Source organism: Homo sapiens, chromosome 7, assembly GCF_000001405.40.
Source record: "Homo sapiens chromosome 7, GRCh38.p14 Primary Assembly".
Classification (NCBI taxonomy): Eukaryota; Metazoa; Chordata; class Mammalia; order Primates; family Hominidae; genus Homo; species Homo sapiens.
The window spans coordinates 55141258-55158830 of record NC_000007.14 but is presented as its reverse complement, the minus strand read 5'-3'; the positions used below and the strand labels follow the sequence as shown (position 1 = coordinate 55158830).

The following is a 17573-nucleotide window of genomic DNA, read 5'->3' as shown; positions in this document are numbered from 1 at the left end:
CCCCCACATATGCCCAGGGAGGCCAGGACACCAGGGCAGAGCCAGGTTTTCCTTGCAGGGCAGGTCTGGGGCCTCAGTGAGTCACACCCTGGAACGTGTGGCCACCCTGTCTCAGTAGGAGCTGGAATCACCAGACTTCTCATTAAATGTGAAAAGTAAGTAACCCTTATCTTGTTTAAATCCCTACAACTAAGCCAACTGGCTCATACCAGCCATCCAAGAAAATTGCTCTAAATCTCTTATTTTTATAAGAATCTTGGTCAAAGAAAGCATTCCAGAGAATTCAGAGCAAAAAGGCCTTTCTGGGAAGCAACGGTAGCCACATATTTAGTATCAGAGATTCAGAGCCAAGGGAGTTTATGGGAGGCAATGCATATTTCACGCACTCTTATTCTCTTTAATGTTGCACAGTATTATCTAGTGCTTTAAGAGTCAAGTAGGGGCAGCAGTTCTCATAACGAGGCTGCTTCCAAGGCGGGTTTCACTAAGAGATTCCCATCTCCTCCTCCACACCACTAAACTGATGATTACCATTACCATATTAAAGATGCTTGTGTGTGAGCACCTGCATGTCTATTCCACTGTCAAAGCTGAAAAAGTGGAAATTCTTGAAGAGTGGTGCTAAAAAGTCTCTCTGGTCCCTGTGATAAGATGTGCATAACCTCAATTGCATCCTGAGAAAACACCAGCTGAACAGACATGGTTAGACAGTGTGCAAAGTACCTGACCCACACGTTTTGTAAGTGTCAAGGCCGTGAAAGACAAGGAAAGACACAGGAGCTAATATAGGTTAGAAATGGACTGAAAAGATTTGACAACTAAGTGCAATGTGGGATCTGGAGTGGACACAGAAGCAGAAGCACTGGCGAGCGCTGAGAAGTCTGTGGTTTAGCGGACAGCCTGTGCCAGTGGTCGTGCAGTCTTGCTCCCTGTGCCTGCTCATGTGAGATAGCATTTGGGAATGCCGGCGAGAGATGCAGGAGCTCTGTGCCCTATCTTAGCAACTCTCCTGTTAAGCCTAATTTCCAACTAAAAAGGCAAATGTAATCTACCAGGCTTTGGCTGTGGTCAACTTACTGTTGCTTGGTCCTGCCGCGTATGATTTCTAGGTTCTCAAAGGCATGGAGGTCCGTCCTGTTTTCAGGCCAAGCCTGAATCAGCAAAAACCCTGTAAGGCAGATGAAAGACTTCAGACACACACCACGTAGGAGTTTCTTTTTTGTATGAGACATTACTCTAGACTCTCAGGGACTCTGTATTATATGAACAGTAAGTGGGAAAATTGGATTTGCTTTCTTTTTCATTATCATCTTCTCTGAGTGTACATGCGCAGGGCGGACGCAGGCCGAGCCACAGTTCACAGCTGCCTCCCGCCTTCCGCTGCGATTCCGCATGTCTCCCGCCGCCCCCCTGGCTGTGGCCCTGAGACCCCTGCTGCGCCGCGTATCTGATTACCCCGAAGAGGCTCCTGCTGCGATTATCTGCCAATTGTGGATCTGGTATCACATACAAGGAGCTTTACAAATTTTCCTTATTTGATTCCAACCTTAAAACAGTCTTGTTATTTTGGTCTAATCTTCCCATTTTAGAGAGGAAGGAAGCGGAGCTCAGGCGGCAGTCATAGACCCGAGGCTTGCCCGTGGCCCCACAAGGCTCTGGCGTCCAGTTTCAAAAGCCTGAGGCCCAGGCTGCCTGTCACCTACCCCTGTCCCCTCCCTCTACCCTCAGGGGTTATGGGCCACCAAGGCAGCTGGCTGGGGCCGGGCGGGAGGGAGAAAGCGTGTTTACACCGCAGTGAATGACCCAAGCCTGGACTTAACGTGTCCCCTTTTGCCTGCAGGAGAAACTGCACTTTTGAAAAATATCAAAACATCAGCCATTAACGGTAAAATTTCAGAAGAAATGTTTTTATTCCAAGGGAACAGGAAATATGTCGAAAAGTTCTCTCTCTAAAACACTGATTTCCCATTTATATTCATGTGATAATTCAGCTCAAACCTGTGATTTCCTTTACGGTTTTCAGAATATCCAGTTCCTGTGGATCCAGAGGAGGAGTATGTGTGAAGGAGTCACTGAAACAAACAACAGGGTGATTATTGATCACCAATCTCTACCAGTTAAAAAGGCAGATTTTGTTTTTCTTTATACAAGCAACTGAACCTGTGACTCACCCCCTAAATGCCACCGGCAGGATGTGGAGATCGCCACTGATGGAGGTGCAGTTTTTGAAGTGTTTAATATTCGTAGCATTTATGGAGAGTGAGTCTTTAAATTCACCAATACCTATTCCGTTACACACTGCAGAGATAAGAGAGACGTGTATTCCGTTCACATTTGTTGGATTAAGAATAGCTAGGGATCCACAGGCAGAGGGAAGCAGGAAGGAATTCCGGTCACCGGAACCGCCACTGCCACATCATCCTTCATTCACTCAACAAACACTGAAGGGGCTGGGGAGAGTGCAGGCGGGAAGGGGGGACACCAGGACCTATAGTACACTTTGGGGCTACGGCGGTGTAGGAGATGCCATCCCTGTCACCTCACACTGACCTTGCGTTCTCCTCATTATTTCCCATGGGCCGCTTGGAGCTGCACTGCTTCCAGCTCTGCCTTCCCTGGATTCTCCCCAGGGCTGGGCACCTGGCAGCTGCTGAGCGGGGCTGGCTCTGTGACTGTTCTCATCAGAGCCCCCCACCCCGTCACAACCTTCAGTGCCTTCCCATTGCCTAACCTAGCTTTACAGCTTTATCTTCTGTTTTAAAGAAACGATATGTATAGTTGTTTTTTAATGAGAAGAGGAAGATGTGTTCCTTTGGAGGTGGCATGAGAGCCCAGCCTCAGCAGCCGAGAACAAGCCTCGTCCGCACACCGGCGGGCTTCCTACCTTTGCGGCAAGGCCCTTCGCACTTCTTACACTTGCGGACGCCGTCTTCCTCCATCTCATAGCTGTCGGCCCCACAGGCTCGGACGCACGAGCCGTGATCTGTCACCACATAATTACCTGGGGAAGAGAGCATGAAAGGAAGGTGATGACGGTGGCACCAGGTGCTCGGGCCTCACACAGGCGGTCCAGGTCCTCTTGAGGGGTGATGGAAAGGCTCCATCCTCCTTTGGCTTTATTTACTTTAAGGACAAAGAATGAAAGGTTGCAAATAGAGAAGGAATCCCGTTCAAGAGTTTAATAACATTCTAGGCCGCAATGTGGACAATACAGGTGTTTCATCATGGCAGGAAACACTGGGTCCCTTGAGGGGCCAGCTGTTTTGCGTCCCAGCAGGCACCTCAGCCCTCTCCTCCACCTGCTCTCACCTTTAAAGTAATTCATTTGTATTAATAGCAGACTTCTGCGTTATTTTTAGGAGCTCTATGTCTTCCTTTTTTGTTTGTCTGAGATGGAGTCTTGCTCTGTCACCCAGGCTGGAGTGCAGTGGTGTGATCTCAGCTCACTGCAACCTCCGCCTCCTGGGTTAAAGCAATTCTCCTGCCTCAGCCTCCTGAGCGGCTGTGATTACAGGCGTGCGCCACCACGCCCGGCTAATTTTTGTATTTTTAGTAGAGACGAGGTTTCACCCTGTTGGCCAGGCTGGTCCCAAACTCCTGACCTCAGACAATCCAGCCCCTTCAGTCTCCCAAAGTGCTGGGATTAAAGGCATGAGCCAATGAGCCACTGTGCCTGGCCTGTTCCTGTTTTAAGTTCCCCAAGAAGATCCTCAAAAATATTTATAGGACATTGATGATTCTTCTGTGAACCATCTGCTCTTGGTATCTCAGGCTCGAAGTGTTTTCCTATGGATTTTAAAGCTCTGTTAAGCCCTATCTCAAAGATATATCTGTGTCATCACTGTGGCACATTTTTCTTTAGCTTTGTTTGTCATTTACCTTATAATGGCTTATTATTTTGTGTTTTTTTTTTCCATACGGAATGTAAAATTTTTCATGTACACAAATCTGGCAGGGTAAAATCTCCCCCTCATAATTGTTCTTTCAATTTTTTTTCTCAGTTAATCTCCCCTTCTAGAGATCAAGAGTGGCTTCTAAAACTCTTTCATTAGACAAAGTTTTGCTTTCTCTGTCAGGAATTATTTTATGTCACAATTTCCCTAAACCCTGGAGCCACCAGTACAAATGTAAGTACAAACAAGCAAAACTCAAACCCAAACCATTAAAACAAAACAAAATAAAAACAAAAACAAAACCTCTGCAATACTCCTAAGAGGCATAACTTTCACTAGAATTTTAACCACTCAAGAAGGCAGGTCTTCTGATAGACTCTCTGATTTCGGTGTATTAAATACCTGCTTGGCACAAGCACTAAACAGTGGCATGCCCACGGCTTTGTGCCCAGCAGACAACTGAATACCCACGGCTGTGGCTGCTGGATGAGTGGTGAGGGCTGAGCAGCAGGTGTTTCTCCTGTGAGGTGGCCTGGCCACCCAGATCTGCCCTGTGCACTGAGCAGCCCCCATGGGTGGAGATGGCCACCACCTGCCCGCTCCTCGGTAGCAAGCCAGCCCCTCCCCTCGCCTGTGTGCCTGGACGGGCACAGGGTCGCCTCCTCCAAGCAAGGCAAACACATCCACCCAAAGACTCTCCAAGATGGGATACTCCAGGGCTCAGCAGGAGACAGAGCGGGACAAGGATGCCTGACCAGTTAGAGGGCCCACAGAGGAGGACTCACGGGGACACTTCTTCACGCAGGTGGCACCAAAGCTGTATTTGCCCTCGGGGTTCACATCCATCTGGTACGTGGTGGGGTTGTAGAGCATGAGTGGGGGGCAGGTGTCCTTGCACGTGGCTTCGTCTCGGAATTTGCGGCAGACCTATGGAGGAGAGAGGACACGCTGGGCAAGTGAGGTAAGTACACTCAGCGCCACACACGGAGGAAGCGCAGCACGGTGTTGACTCCCGTCAGAAAGCCCAAGTTACTGTCTTTGCAGCCTAGTGTTCCACTAGTGTGGGAAAACCCAGCTGGCGCCCTCTGCAGAGTCAGAAAGACCCTTCTCTAAAAAGTCCATTTTTTTCTTAGGTGCACTGTCCCACCTATCATAATTTATGGATTATGATAAAAATACGTCTGTTTACTAACGTATAGATGATGGAGTTCACACATTATAGCGGTGACTATGGAATGAAATTATGTTTAATTTCCCTTATAAAGGACATTGGGCTTCCCTTATAAAGTACAATTGAGGGTATATTTTATAATGTATTGCTGAATGGCAGAAAGCCTTGCTAGAACAATGCCGTGTAAAGGAGCCAGACCCAATACAGCGAGGGCTTTTCCTAGGACCAACCCCACGCACAGTCTTCTCCCTGGGGCTCACATTAGAAACAGCTCAGGCCAACCAAGTCACAATTCCTGGGTCTGGGTCCAAACTCTGGAATTTAGGAATCTTCTCTGAAACCACAGAGTGCTCTGGATTTAGTCTTAGGAAGGGCTTCGTCACACCAGCTCCCACTCCAGGAGTCACATCCACCAGCCTTGGCGTCTCCAGGACTTCCAAGACGCTTCTGACCTGTACCCTCCAGTGCTGCTCAGAGCCCGCTGGGGCAGCAAGGCTTCTGCTGGCACTTTCTGGAGCAATGGGGCGACAGTGAGTACTTCAGGACCCCTTGAGGGCAGGGTGCAGCTCAGGAGGTGCCTGAGCAGTGGTGGAGGAGCCGAGGGATCCGTGTCAGGAGGCCCTAACCCAGCCCCAGCCAGCAAGACCTGTGTGGCTCTCCATGGGTCTCTTAGGGACCTCACAGTGTCAAGTCTCTAGAGGTATAGCCGAAGTCAAACAATAAAGAGAGTGTGCTGCTGGCAACAAGGCACATTCATGACAAATACTTGCATGTAGTATTTAGTGCTTGTTCTGTGCCCAGGTCCTAATGACGGACATCACAGGCATCTCATCATTTAAGCATTCAACTGGGAGAGACTTTGTTATGCATCATTGTCAGGTAAGGAAATGGAGGCATGGTAGTCCCATCATTTTCCCAAGGTCTCAGTGAGTGGTGGAGGCAGGATACTAAAGATACTTTGTCACCAGGCAGAGGGCAATATCCTGTCTGTTATGACAAATGCTAATTGACAGCTCCCCCACAGGAAGTCTTCTGTCCTGGTGTGGGTGGGGCGGGTGCAGCCCCAGCCTGCTCCAGGGAGGCTGCTGGAGGGGCATCTTACCAGGCAGTCGCTCTCCCGGGGGCCTGTGCAGCCTGCAGCACACTGGTTGTGGCAGCAGTCACTGGGGGACTTGCCACGGCAGCGCCCGGAGCACTGCTGGGCACAGATGATTTTGGTCACTGAAAAAGAGCAAAGGTTCCCTGTGAGCTGAAGAGTGAGGGTAGGATCATTTCCCAGGGATGTCGCAGAGCACTTGCAGACTTTTTCATGAAAAAGTGAAGACACATTTGCTTCCAACGAAACCACATTCAAACTAAGTCAAACCATGCCCTTTTCTGATTGCCTCTTTTTTCTCCTGATTTATTTTTAATCACTTAAGAGAACTCATGAGATCAAGTCTAGACTTTGAGACCTGCTAAATAATTAGATGCATCTTGGGCAATGCAGAAAGCACATACAAAGAACAAAAATACCTGCTGGGAAGTAGTGTTTAGAAGGGCCTAACAGCCCCCCCACAATTCAGCTTAAGGACATAGTGTCCGTTTTTGAGCTCATGTCCCCAGGTTCCTTGGCCACTGAGAGGCTGAGCCAGACAACCATACCTAGGAGAATGGCCCTCTCCATCGTAAAGCAGGGTCCACATGGAAAAGTCCCCATGAGAACCCGTGCTCAGGCTTCTGTGTAGGTGGGTACCAAAGAAAGCCAGGGAGGGAGAGGAAACAAGAAGTCTGGTGACTGCTGTCAACAGGAGCAAGTCTTCCATTCCTGGGAAAGTGTGCTGTGTTCAGAGGACAGGGCTGGGGTACTTGCTGATGTTCACTTATTGTTGTTGTTGTTGTTGTTGTTGTTTTGAGACGGAGTCTCGCTCTGTCGCCCAGGCTGGAATGCAGTGGCACAATCTCGGCTCACTGCAAGCTCCGCCTCCCAGGTTCATGCCATTCTCCTGCCTCAGCCTCCCGAGTAGCTGGGACTACAGGCGCCCGCCACCACGCCCGGCTAATTTTTTGTATTTTTAGTAGAGACGAGGTTTCACTGTGTTAACCAGAATGGCTCGATCTCCTGACCTCGTGATCCGACCGCCTCCGCCTCCCAAAGTGCTGGGATTATAGGGGTGAGCCACCGCGCCCAGCCCCTGCTGATGTTCACTTATTTGTGATAGGCTGAAGCTCCCAAAATAGCCCACCCTGGATTAACTGCATGCGGTGAGATTTGCAAGACTGTCCTTCACCTACTGGTTCACATCTGACCCTGTAATAAAGTAACTCTTTGGAGTCTTCAGAGGGAAAACAAATCCAATCACCTAAGCAAGTGAAGGAAGAGAGGGGCGGTCACACATGGGTCTGAGGCTGTTCACTGACTTACGTTTCTGGCAGTTCTCCTCTCCTGCACCCCAGCAGCTCCCATTGGGACAGCTTGGATCACACTTTTGGCCTGAAATGTAAAAGTAATAGATGCATATCTCAGTGAAATGATGAGAAACTGATGACGCCCTTTCCCGGGCCTGAGTTAAGCACATTCAATAAATGAAGACAATCTTTTCAACTTATTCTCTGATTGTTTGGCTGGCTGGTTTGTAGAATCACTTGAGACCCCGATAAGAAAAGAAGATGAACCATGAACTGCTTTTATTTACATGTCAGCTGCGGAAACTGAGGCAGAGAGTAATTACTGACATGGGCCACATAAGCAAGAATTTTTCATGAATTTGAGGTTCCTTGTTTACAATCTGCTTAGGCTTGGAGCATTCCCTGGCATCTCCTGCCACAGCTAGAGTGTCTCGTCTGGCTGAGCCTTTGGCATGGACCCACTACTTCCTTGCTGTGTCCAGTCTTGAGTGACTGCATGTGTCAGCCGTTCTGGGATTGTTAAGTCATAGCCTGTAAATAAAACCTTCTAGACTCCAAACCAGAGAGAAGCACAGAATGGTGCACAGAGGGTGAAATGTTAACAGTGCAGATCACTTTCATGACTGTGTAAAACCTTAGCTATCTGGTCAATTTTTGCAGTTTTTATAATTGGCCGATTACAAATTATAGCTGCAAAGGTTTTCCTGTCATCTGTCGTGTTTTCTTTTTATCAGTATTGAGAAGTCTGAAGGTCGAAGTGCTATATCTATATAGAAAGAGTAGGTTAACCACCAAATTTGTTAAAGAGTCCAGTCATGCAGATATCTTTTACTGTGAAGACATAGTAAACTAGAGGTGTTCATGGGTCCCGAGGTCCCCTGCAGTCAGGAAGAATTTAGATTTCAAACAGAAAAGCTGACGATTGATCTCCCATGTGACTGTGAAGCCAGAATACCACCAAGGCAAAGGGCGCTAATTGCCGCGCTGGTGCTCCTTAGAGACATGAAGGCCGGGGAGGCTGGCATCACGACAGTGACCGCGGGGGATGGACGTTGTGAGGAGGTAGGCAGAGAGACTGCAACAGAGGTCTAGAGAAAGCAAGGTCCTACGCAGGCGTGCTAAAAGCAGCTAGATCTGTAGCGTGCAATCCCATTCTTTCAACTTTTTACCCTGTACTCACATATAATTTTCAAATTTCTATTATAAGCTTGTAATCATTGTATAAAATAAAAATATTTAAAAGAAAAATGCATCTTTTTCTAACGGGAAACATTTGCCAATAAACAAACAAGATCTGTTTATGATTCTAGTATTGACCATCTGTTACAAAAAAGAAATGCAGGCACATCGTATAAAATATGGATAATAGAAGAAAGCAAAAAGAAGACATGAGACTCATCCAGAGTTAATCAATATAGACATATAAGTCTATGTATATACAGGAATTGGAATCCCACTATACATTGTGTTATAACCTTAAAAACCCATATAAAACATGGCAATTTTTCCATGCCTTTAAATATGCTTCTATCTAACATGATTATCAATAGCATGGCTGCTGCATAATTTTTTCAACCAATCTCTTATTTTTAGATATATAATTTGTTCACAAAATTTATTATAAATAAGGCTGCAAGGAATTCTTGTATAAGAATATGTTTCTACATCTCTTATGATTTTCACTTTCATTATTTCTTTTTCTCTTATTCCGAAATGTGATATTGATTGGTCAAAGCTATACATACTTTGAAGCTTTAGATACATATTGCAGGCATATTGCCAAGCTTGGTTTTATTAACATATATGCCCACAAGCAGAACGTGAGAATTTCTGTTTCTCGACACCCCAGCTGACCCAGGTGTTTAAAAGCAAAAGGAACCCAAATACTTTGCAAAGGAAGGTGTGATGCTTTCTTTTTCTATTTTGACCTACTTATTACATTAGAAATAACATTTTACTTTATTTCTTGGCCATATTTGTGTGTGTGTGTGTATGTGTGCGTGTGTGTGTGTGACAGAAAGAGAGACAGTGAGAGTGAGAGAGAGAGGCTGCTCATGTTCTGGGCCAGGTTTTTATTAAGAGATTCATCTTTTTCTTAGTCTTTTAAAGATGACTTCACAGAGTGATATAGCAAGGATATTAACCCTCTTCATGGCAATCAGACATTGCACAATATTTTCCTGGTAGCCATTAACATATTTTACTTGAAAGTTTTCTTTTATGATGTCAGATTTTGGCTTTTCTTCAACTTGATATTACAAAATATTCATATTTATGTTTCCTTCTGGCACTTACATATATATTAAATATTTTATTATATGTATTTAATATGTATTTGGAATTCATAGTACAAGGAGTGGGTGATGGATTTAATTTTCTCTGAAGTAAACCCATTCATTCTAACTTCTAATGCCCAACTTCAACATAAACATAAAAGCTAGGCACACTGTGAAATTTTTCTGAGTTTTAGACATCTTGTCCATAAAACACTTAAATCATCTCATGAGATTTTTTTTTTTGGTGAAGACTAAATGAGATCCATTCTGAGCAGGAACGTGTAGCCATAAAGCACCAGTCAAGAGAGGAGCTTCCTTTACCACAGGAGCCTGGCAGCATTCCCAACTTGCCTCTAGATGGTAAGGAGGAAATTTCAGGTATCAGGTCGATGGTGAATTTGCACTCTCCAATGCGACTAACCCAACATACCTAATTCCTTTTTAAAAACCCTTTATAGTTCTCTCACTTTGATATTTTCACCCCTAATAGTTAAGTCATTCCAGACAATTTATTGAATAAGGAATTATTCTCTTATTGGCTTGAAATGTCAGTTCTTTATAGACTTTTGATTTTGCTAGGCTTATTCTTACTGTCTTATTTTTTGTTTATTCTTAAAGCAATGCTATATTGGCCTATAGTTCAATGCCCTGTAGTATTTGAATCTTTTTACTGCATGAACCTACCCATCATTCCCCTTTCCAGCACTTTCTCTGTGGGTCTTTCCCACAGTTGTTGTACAGAACATGGAGACCTGCCATTGTGGGCTGCCTGACCTGATCCATGGCAAACACTGGCCCCATAACCGTTCCAGGTTCATTAAAAAAAAATAAAATGTGCACAGTTTAACCTCCCCATTGTCCACCAGACAGCTGAGGAAATGCTAACCTTGATCTCATAATATGAAATTTTGCAATGTAAAATAAAGCTTTCAGTTTCTTGCAAACATAGTAGGTGTCAGGATGGGTATCTGGTGGAATAATATGTCTATAAAACAAAGAGCCTCAATACCCATGTTCACAGCAGCATTATTCAAACAGTCAAAAGATGGAAGCAACCCCAGTGTCTGTAGATAGGTGAATGGACAAACAAAATGTAGTGTCAACATACAATGGAATATTATTCAGCCATGAAGAGGAAGGACATTCTTAACACGTGCTACAGCATGGATAAACCTTCGGGACATTTTGCTAGGTGAAATAAGCCAGACACAAAAGGACAGATACTACATGATTCCACCTGTATGAGAGCCCCAGAGCAGTCAAATTCATAGAGACATCAAGTGGACTGTTGCCTGCCAGGGCCAGAGGCTGGGAAGGAAGGGAGAGCAGAGAGTTACTGTCTAATGGGTAGAGTTTCAGCTTTGCAAGATAAAAGAGTTCTGTGTGTGGACGGTGGTGATGGCCACACACCCATGTGGATGTATAATGCCACTGACATTGTAACTTACAATGGTTAAGATGGAAAATCTTGTATTACGGGCATTTCATCACAATCCATCCATAAAATGAAAATAAAACAAATACACAAAAATCCAAAGCCCTGTAGTTGATGATTTTGAAGATTCACGTCAGCTCTATTTTTTTTTTTTTTTGTTCTGAGGGCAGAAAACAAACAGGCATCCACTGCACAGTTGTGGAGAAACAAAGAAGCAGGAAATGGTGATCACTTCTTACTCTAAAGAACAGAAAGTCCAAGCGATCAGGAACGGGCGCAGCCCAGGGGAGCTGGGTGAGTGTGAGCTTGCGTCTCAGAGTCCCCCATCAGTGCTGGCCTGAGTCAGGGCGCCACGCTGACCTGCGCCTGGTTCCCTGCCAGGCTTCCCCACAGGCTGCCTCACTGGGGAATGGGACAGGGACCAGGCCACCAGTATTCAAGGAAACATGGACAGACTTCCTCTCCATGGCAGTGCCCAGCTGTGTGTGTGACTCCATGTGGCAGTGTTCATGCCCTCAGCTGGGGGTGGATTCAGCCCTGGTGCTTCAGGAGGGCCGGGTAGCCTCTGGAGACTCAGAAGCATGTAGGAGTCTGGCCAGTGTCAGCAGGGCAGGCTAGGAGAGGCCCTGGTGCTGCCAGCCCCATGAACAGCAGCTCTTCTCAGGACACAAGTGCTCTGCTGTCCCTGCAGGGGATCTGCCTCCGGTGGCCTGCACTGCCAACCAGCTGGGCTGCCACCCGCCACAAAAAAACGATCTCTATGTCCGTGGTAAATACATGCTTTTCTAGTGGTCAGATATTTTGCTTACTACTTTTTGTTTCTGATTAATGTGACTTACTAAACATGGCTTCTCTCCCCTGCCCCAGTGCTGTAGAGCTGTCCCCCATAGGAGCTGGAGGCAGAGATAGTGTGTATGCGACACTTACAGCTGCCCAGGTGGTTCTGGAAGTCCATCGACATGTTGCTGAGAAAGTCACTGCTGACTATGTCCCGCCACTGGATGCTCTCCACGTTGCACAGGGCAGGGTTGTTGCTGAACCGCACGGCGCCATGCAGGATTTCTGCGGGAGAATGGAACTGCGGTGAGCACTCTTTCCAGCTCCTTTAAATTCCCATGAAGGATGCATGTGCTCTTCGCATTTATGTTCTGCTAAAGAGATGCCATGGTGCGAACAAGAGTCCCGCAATTAGCCCAGTGAACTTCCCGGGGGGCGGCCAGATAAAATTGTTAATGATGGTGCCATGGAGGAGCTAGGGTTTTCTCTGAATTGGGCTTTGAGCAATGATTAGAAATTTAGAAATATGGGGAGGAAGGAAGAGAATGGTTTAGTCAGTGGTCACAGCATAAATGATATGCATGTGGTAAGCTGGGTCCCAAGGGGCTGATTGGCTGGACTGGAATGGTCGCATGATGTAGGGGGTAGGCAGGGCAGGGAGGCAGTTCCTGAGTGCTACAGCCCTGGATGCCAGGTGAGGGGCTGGCATCCAGGGCTCCACCTTGCATGCCCAGGCGGAGCTTTTCATTAGAGAAAAGGATATGAGAGTGACACGAAACAAGAAGAATCTGAATGTATGACAGAGACAGGTAGACTCCAGGGATGCACAGGATGGTGAAACTGTACAGCTGTTTCCAAAGAAGAACTAACAAGATGTGGAAAAGTCAGGGATGAACACATTCAAGTCTTTACAAAGTGGGAGTGTTCCACTGATGACATTAAACATGAACATTGACAGAATGACTTATGTGTACAAAACCCTGTGCAAGTGCTGTGGGCGCTGCGAGGATGAATGAGATCCACTGGCTTCGATCTGGGAGCTGACAGGCTTGGGGACAGACATGTCACACACTCTAACCACCTCATGCCCAGGGAGACCCTGACACAGTGAGGCTGGGTACCTTGCTGGCTGATTTATAAGCACTATCTTCATTCATTCTCACAATGGTGCAATGAGCATCTGTGACTTTAATAGAGAAAAAATTGACCTCTGATTCATGAAGCAATGCCCAGCTCCCCAGGCAGGGAATGGGCATGTTGTGTGTACAGAGTACCAACGTGGGAAAGGAGGGATTCACCCCTGAAGATCCTGGAGGCTGCTAGGAAAATGAGCTTCCCCAGAAGGGCACAGGCACACATCTTAGAGGAGTGTGGAAGTGAGGGCTGAAGGCTTCCTGCAGACAGGAGACCCAGTGCAGGGAAACAGTGGAACAGGCTTCTTCAGTGGATGCACAGAAGCAAGGAACTGAGGAAGGAAGCTTGGGGTCATAAGGGCTGAATCGTGGTGCTTTGTTTATCAGGTTGGAGATGACAGCAGAACCATCCGTGAAAACACTCATGAAAAAGCCATGCACAGGTGGATGGAACTCAGGAGAGGACAGGGCTGGAAACACCAACAGGGATGTCCAGGCTGCTGTGGCAGCTCGGACAACAGACCAAAGACCTGAGAGAGAGCAGGGGGCGGGGCGAGGAGAGCACAGAGGCACAGTCAGAGCTGGGCCTTCAGCACACCACAGGCAATGACTGCCAGAGGAGGGCCAGCACACGTGAGGGAGGCTGCAGGAGCCGCTTCCCGGTGGCTTAGGGGAGGCTCACCCTGCAGCAGGCACTAGGTTAGCTATTAATGGTATCACATTAACTAATCTGCATCTATACAATCCCAGCCTTGGTTTAAAAAACAATCATACCAAGGAAGTGGAAGGAGCTGCTGAGGCCTGTTCCTACAGTCACTTAATTTTCTGCACCACCTAGGAAGTATGTCACCATTTTTTAGCAGCTATGCCATCCACATTTTTGAAGATGACGAAACAGAGACACGGAGGGATTGGAGAATGTGCTCCCGAGCCATCTGGCTGCTGAGGGACGGGGCCAGGCAGGAACCCAGAGGGTCTGGCTCGGAGGTCCAGGCACCCGCACAGGCTGCCTCCCTCCGAGACAGCGTGTGAGGCGCACTGTAGGAACCGGTGTACCAGGCCATCTCACAGGAGGCACGCACAGCACAAGCATGTGCGCGGCTGCTCTGAGCAGCAAGGGGTGTGGGGGAACCACACAATTTTATAGGCGGTGAACTGAGGAGCCATGACCAGAGGTGCTGGCTTGGGTTCCAGCGCTGCACCCCTGTTGGGCTCCTGTCACTCCGGATATGACTCCCTCTGCTGGGCACCCCTTTCATCACACCCCTTTCCTACCAGCACTGCCTCCCTGTCAGAACTGCATGGCACAGGAGGGGCGTTGAGCGCCCTGGGGCAGAGAGTGGTGGCCATAGCTGGCCTCTCCATTCACTAGCTGGGGCCCTCAAGGGAGTTACTTGACTTCCATTTATTTATTTGTACGATGGCAGAGCACAGCCAGTCCCCGGCTTAGCATGATTTAACACAGATTTTCGACTTTGCCATGGTGTGAAGGCAATATACATTCAATTAGCCCTGAAATCCGACCTAATGACGCCTTCACCCTCGGCGGGGTCCAGCCAGATAGGATGCCATCATAAGTCAAGGGGCATCTGTACAGTGCCTACTTTGAAGAAAGGTTGTGGGCGTTAAATGAAGTTACCAATTTAACATTCCTGGCCCCAAACCCACTGCACAGTGAGGCACAATCACTGCTATCTCCAGTTTTTTAAAATCAATTTCCCTTCTTTTCTATCATCCTTCATTGTTTCCTCTCACAGGAACCTCACGAGTCCTGCTCACAAAAATTCAAAGTTCTAGAACACCTCATTCTCTATCCTTAACTTACACAGGGCTTTCTGTGTAGCAGCGCGACTCTCGAAACTGTCCTCAATGTGGGTTGATTTTTACTGTATGTCTTTTATCCTTGAGGTCCAGGTAATAAGACTGGCAGTTTATTCACTGCCTACACACATAGATTCACGATTCCTGCTCAGCTTGTTTGGTCATACTCTCTTTTACTCAGAATCTTTACGATTTCTTACTATCTCTCAGTATTTTTTCATGTCCATGTAAACACTGGTACCCCGCTTAAATCTTCCCATTCCAGTATCTGCCATCTTCTCAGTAACTTCCCCTGCAGTATCTTACACACAGCCGGCACTCAGTGCACGTGTACTGGGTAAAAATAAAAGCCTTCTCCGAGGTGGAATTGAGTGACAAGCTCGCTGGGAGCCATCGGAACTGCTGTCTGCATTTATGAACCCCCAGCCTTGGCATCCCAGCCTCTCACCCTGTAAATTTCTCATGGGCAGCTCCTTCAGTCCGGTTTTATTTGCATCATAGTTAGATAAGACTGCTAAGGCATAGGAATTTTCGTAGTACATATTTCCTCTGATGATCTGCAGGTTTTCCAAAGGAATTCGCTCCACTGTGTTGAGGGCAATGAGGACATAACCAGCCACCTCCTGGATGGTCTAAGAAGAGAAAACATAAATGCGTGATTTCTCTTTTGAGGAACTCAAGAACTCAAGGTCTAAAATGGGTCCAGGGAGCCCTAGGACGCCCAGTTGAACCCTAATGCACACGAGTGCTCAACAACTGTAAAATAGGTAGACGATTGCAGTCATGGACACAGGAGGCAGCATGTCCACGATCTGCAACAATCCCTGCACGTTAGCCTTTGACCCCTGTGATAATGAGCAGTAAGCATTGTTCTGGAACACTGTGCTCTCATGCCTCACGGGGTTCAACACTCTCCAGTGAAAATGGAAATTAAAAAGAATTACTTTGTATCTGTCTTGCATTATTTCTTATTTAAAAAGGAAAGGTAAAAGAAAAACAGAAGAAGGCTAAGTAAACCCCATCCAAAATTCAGTGAAACTCTGAAGCCTTCAGAGCTGGCTCCTATGGGGTCATTAGCGCCTATCGTGAAATAAGAATTCTGTGACCAGCTGAGTGAAACTTGGTACCTTGAAATCAGCTATAGTAGGAGTATTTACACTAAGGGAATAGGCAAATGGTGCAAAGCAGGGCTTTTAAAAAAAGTTTTTAAGAGCGAGTATGGCAGCACATCATGACTGAGGTAATGGTCAGGGATAAACGTCAGTGTCTATGATGACATGGAACTCCAGATTAGCCTGTTTCTATTTGATATCCTTTTCTAGTTATTACTTGACATTAGCTGGTAAAATGGCTTTCTCATAAAACTCTCGTTTGTAGCTCTGTAAGACTTGTCATTGCCATAGCAAAAATAAACACACTTCAAGTGGAATTCTGCCCAGGCCTTTCTCCACTTAGATTTTCTCCAATTTTATTTGTGTAGGAAAATCAAAGTCACCAACCTTTAAGAAGGAAAGATCATAATTCCTCTGCACATAGGTAATTTCCAAATTCCCAAGGACCACCTCACAGTTATTGAACATCCTCTGGAGGCTGAGAAAATGATCTTCAAAAGTGCCCAACTGCGTGAGCTTGTTACTCGTGCCTTGGCAAACTGGAAGAAAAAGACAGATATCACATGAAATACTGAGAAATGCAGAAAAACTAAAATAAAACAATCCCTCAAGGTCCAGGTATTAAGGGTAGCAGTTTCTTCACTCTCTCCACACAGAGACTCACCCATTCCTGCCCAGGTCATCTGGGCGCAAAGCTTACTAACTTAGTGAGCTTTAGTGACTGATAATACAAATTCTCACTAAAGGACACAGCAAAGAAATTTGTGATAAAAGATCTTTAAGTTTATATAAGGTGCAATTCATAATAAGAGATAGCTTGTCCCTATAATGCATTGAATTGCATTAAAATGCCAAAATAAAAAAATGTTGAAATTTAAAGGGGTGGGTGGTAGATGAAAATTCTATGAAAATCTTGAAGACAGGATTAACCTGTAAGAGCTCCAGTAGGCAAAAAATAAATTTCACAAGGTATTTCACGAATATAACTGTAGGGTTGAGTTAATAACTATATAATGAACTTTTTACTTCTCAAAAATATTGTGAGTCACATTGTTGTGCGTGCAATGAATGTTTACAAACATAACATACACTGGGCAGTAGTGTACACAACACTACACCTAAAATCAGGGACAAAAGTGTAAATTAAAAACCTAACTGGCTGGAGATTAAAAATATTATTCAAATGAATGCATCAAAGAATAAATCAAAGGTCTAACTGTAGAATATTCAGAAAATAACAAACATCAAAATACAACATTTAAAAACACTCTCAGCTAGTGAGAAACCCACACATCCCTATGCTCGTCCACACTCCATGTTGATCCACCCAGCACAGGCGGAGGCACAGTTACTTCCCTCACCACCAGCATACAATCTTGTATGCTTGAGTTCCTAATGTTTCAAGGCATCAAACTTAATCCAAGAAAAAATTTTAAATTAAGGGACAAAGTTGGACCATAGAAATGGACGTGGTGATCCATTTTTAAAAGCAAAGGAGAGGTTTATAATAAAGTTGTATTTACAGAACTAGTTCTTTGAAAGGCATGTTTAGGCAAGCATAACAAAA

General features: G+C 46.0%; 1 protein-coding gene across 11 annotated transcripts in view, besides 5 other annotated features; it reads right to left on the bottom strand.

Annotated features, from left to right (window-relative positions):
- Positions 1-17573, bottom strand: part of EGFR (epidermal growth factor receptor) — a 192612-nt gene that overhangs the window by 52798 nt on the left and 122241 nt on the right. For 7 of the 11 annotated variants that reach the window (NM_005228.5, NM_001346898.2, NM_201284.2 and 4 more), the window contains exons 2-11: positions 16394-16545; positions 15343-15526; positions 12091-12225; positions 7469-7537; positions 6167-6285; positions 4679-4820; positions 2885-3001; positions 2172-2298; positions 1999-2072; positions 1078-1168 (exon numbers count right to left, since the gene is read on the bottom strand). In NM_005228.5, the coding sequence (NP_005219.2) occupies positions 1078-1168; positions 1999-2072; positions 2172-2298; positions 2885-3001; positions 4679-4820; positions 6167-6285; positions 7469-7537; positions 12091-12225; positions 15343-15526; positions 16394-16545 (1210 nt within the window). Of the gene's footprint in view, positions 1-1077; positions 1169-1891; positions 2073-2171; positions 2299-2884; positions 3002-4678; positions 4821-6166; positions 6286-7468; positions 7538-12090; positions 12226-15342; positions 15527-16393; positions 16546-17573 lie in introns of those variants that run through there. The other 4 variants (NM_001346899.2, NM_001346897.2, NM_201283.2 and 1 more) reach the window with 3 other exon arrangements.
- Positions 1478-2677: an enhancer, noted in NCBI's record as "P300/CBP strongly-dependent group 1 enhancer chr7:55223847-55225046 (GRCh37/hg19 assembly coordinates)". NCBI's record gives its function as "activates an origin of replication core promoter dependent on BRD2, BRD4, P300/CBP, MED14 and CDK7 cofactors, with strong dependence on P300/CBP, by STARR-seq in HCT116 cells {active_cell/tissue: HCT116}" and the evidence as "EXISTENCE:reporter gene assay evidence [ECO:0000049][PMID:35650434]".
- Positions 1478-2830: a biological region, named in NCBI's record as "P300/CBP strongly-dependent group 1 enhancer GRCh37_chr7:55223847-55225046".
- Positions 2258-2830: an enhancer, noted in NCBI's record as "H3K4me1 hESC enhancer chr7:55223694-55224266 (GRCh37/hg19 assembly coordinates)". NCBI's record gives its function as "activates a minimal SCP1, AML or CMV promoter by ChIP-STARR-seq in naive H9 embryonic stem cells {active_cell/tissue: H9 hESC(naive)}" and the evidence as "EXISTENCE:reporter gene assay evidence [ECO:0000049][PMID:30033119]".
- Positions 5918-6726: an enhancer, noted in NCBI's record as "H3K4me1 hESC enhancer chr7:55219798-55220606 (GRCh37/hg19 assembly coordinates)". NCBI's record gives its function as "activates a minimal SCP1, AML or CMV promoter by ChIP-STARR-seq in naive H9 embryonic stem cells {active_cell/tissue: H9 hESC(naive)}" and the evidence as "EXISTENCE:reporter gene assay evidence [ECO:0000049][PMID:30033119]".
- Positions 11716-12254: an enhancer, noted in NCBI's record as "H3K27ac-H3K4me1 hESC enhancer chr7:55214270-55214808 (GRCh37/hg19 assembly coordinates)". NCBI's record gives its function as "activates a minimal SCP1, AML or CMV promoter by ChIP-STARR-seq in naive H9 embryonic stem cells {active_cell/tissue: H9 hESC(naive)}" and the evidence as "EXISTENCE:reporter gene assay evidence [ECO:0000049][PMID:30033119]".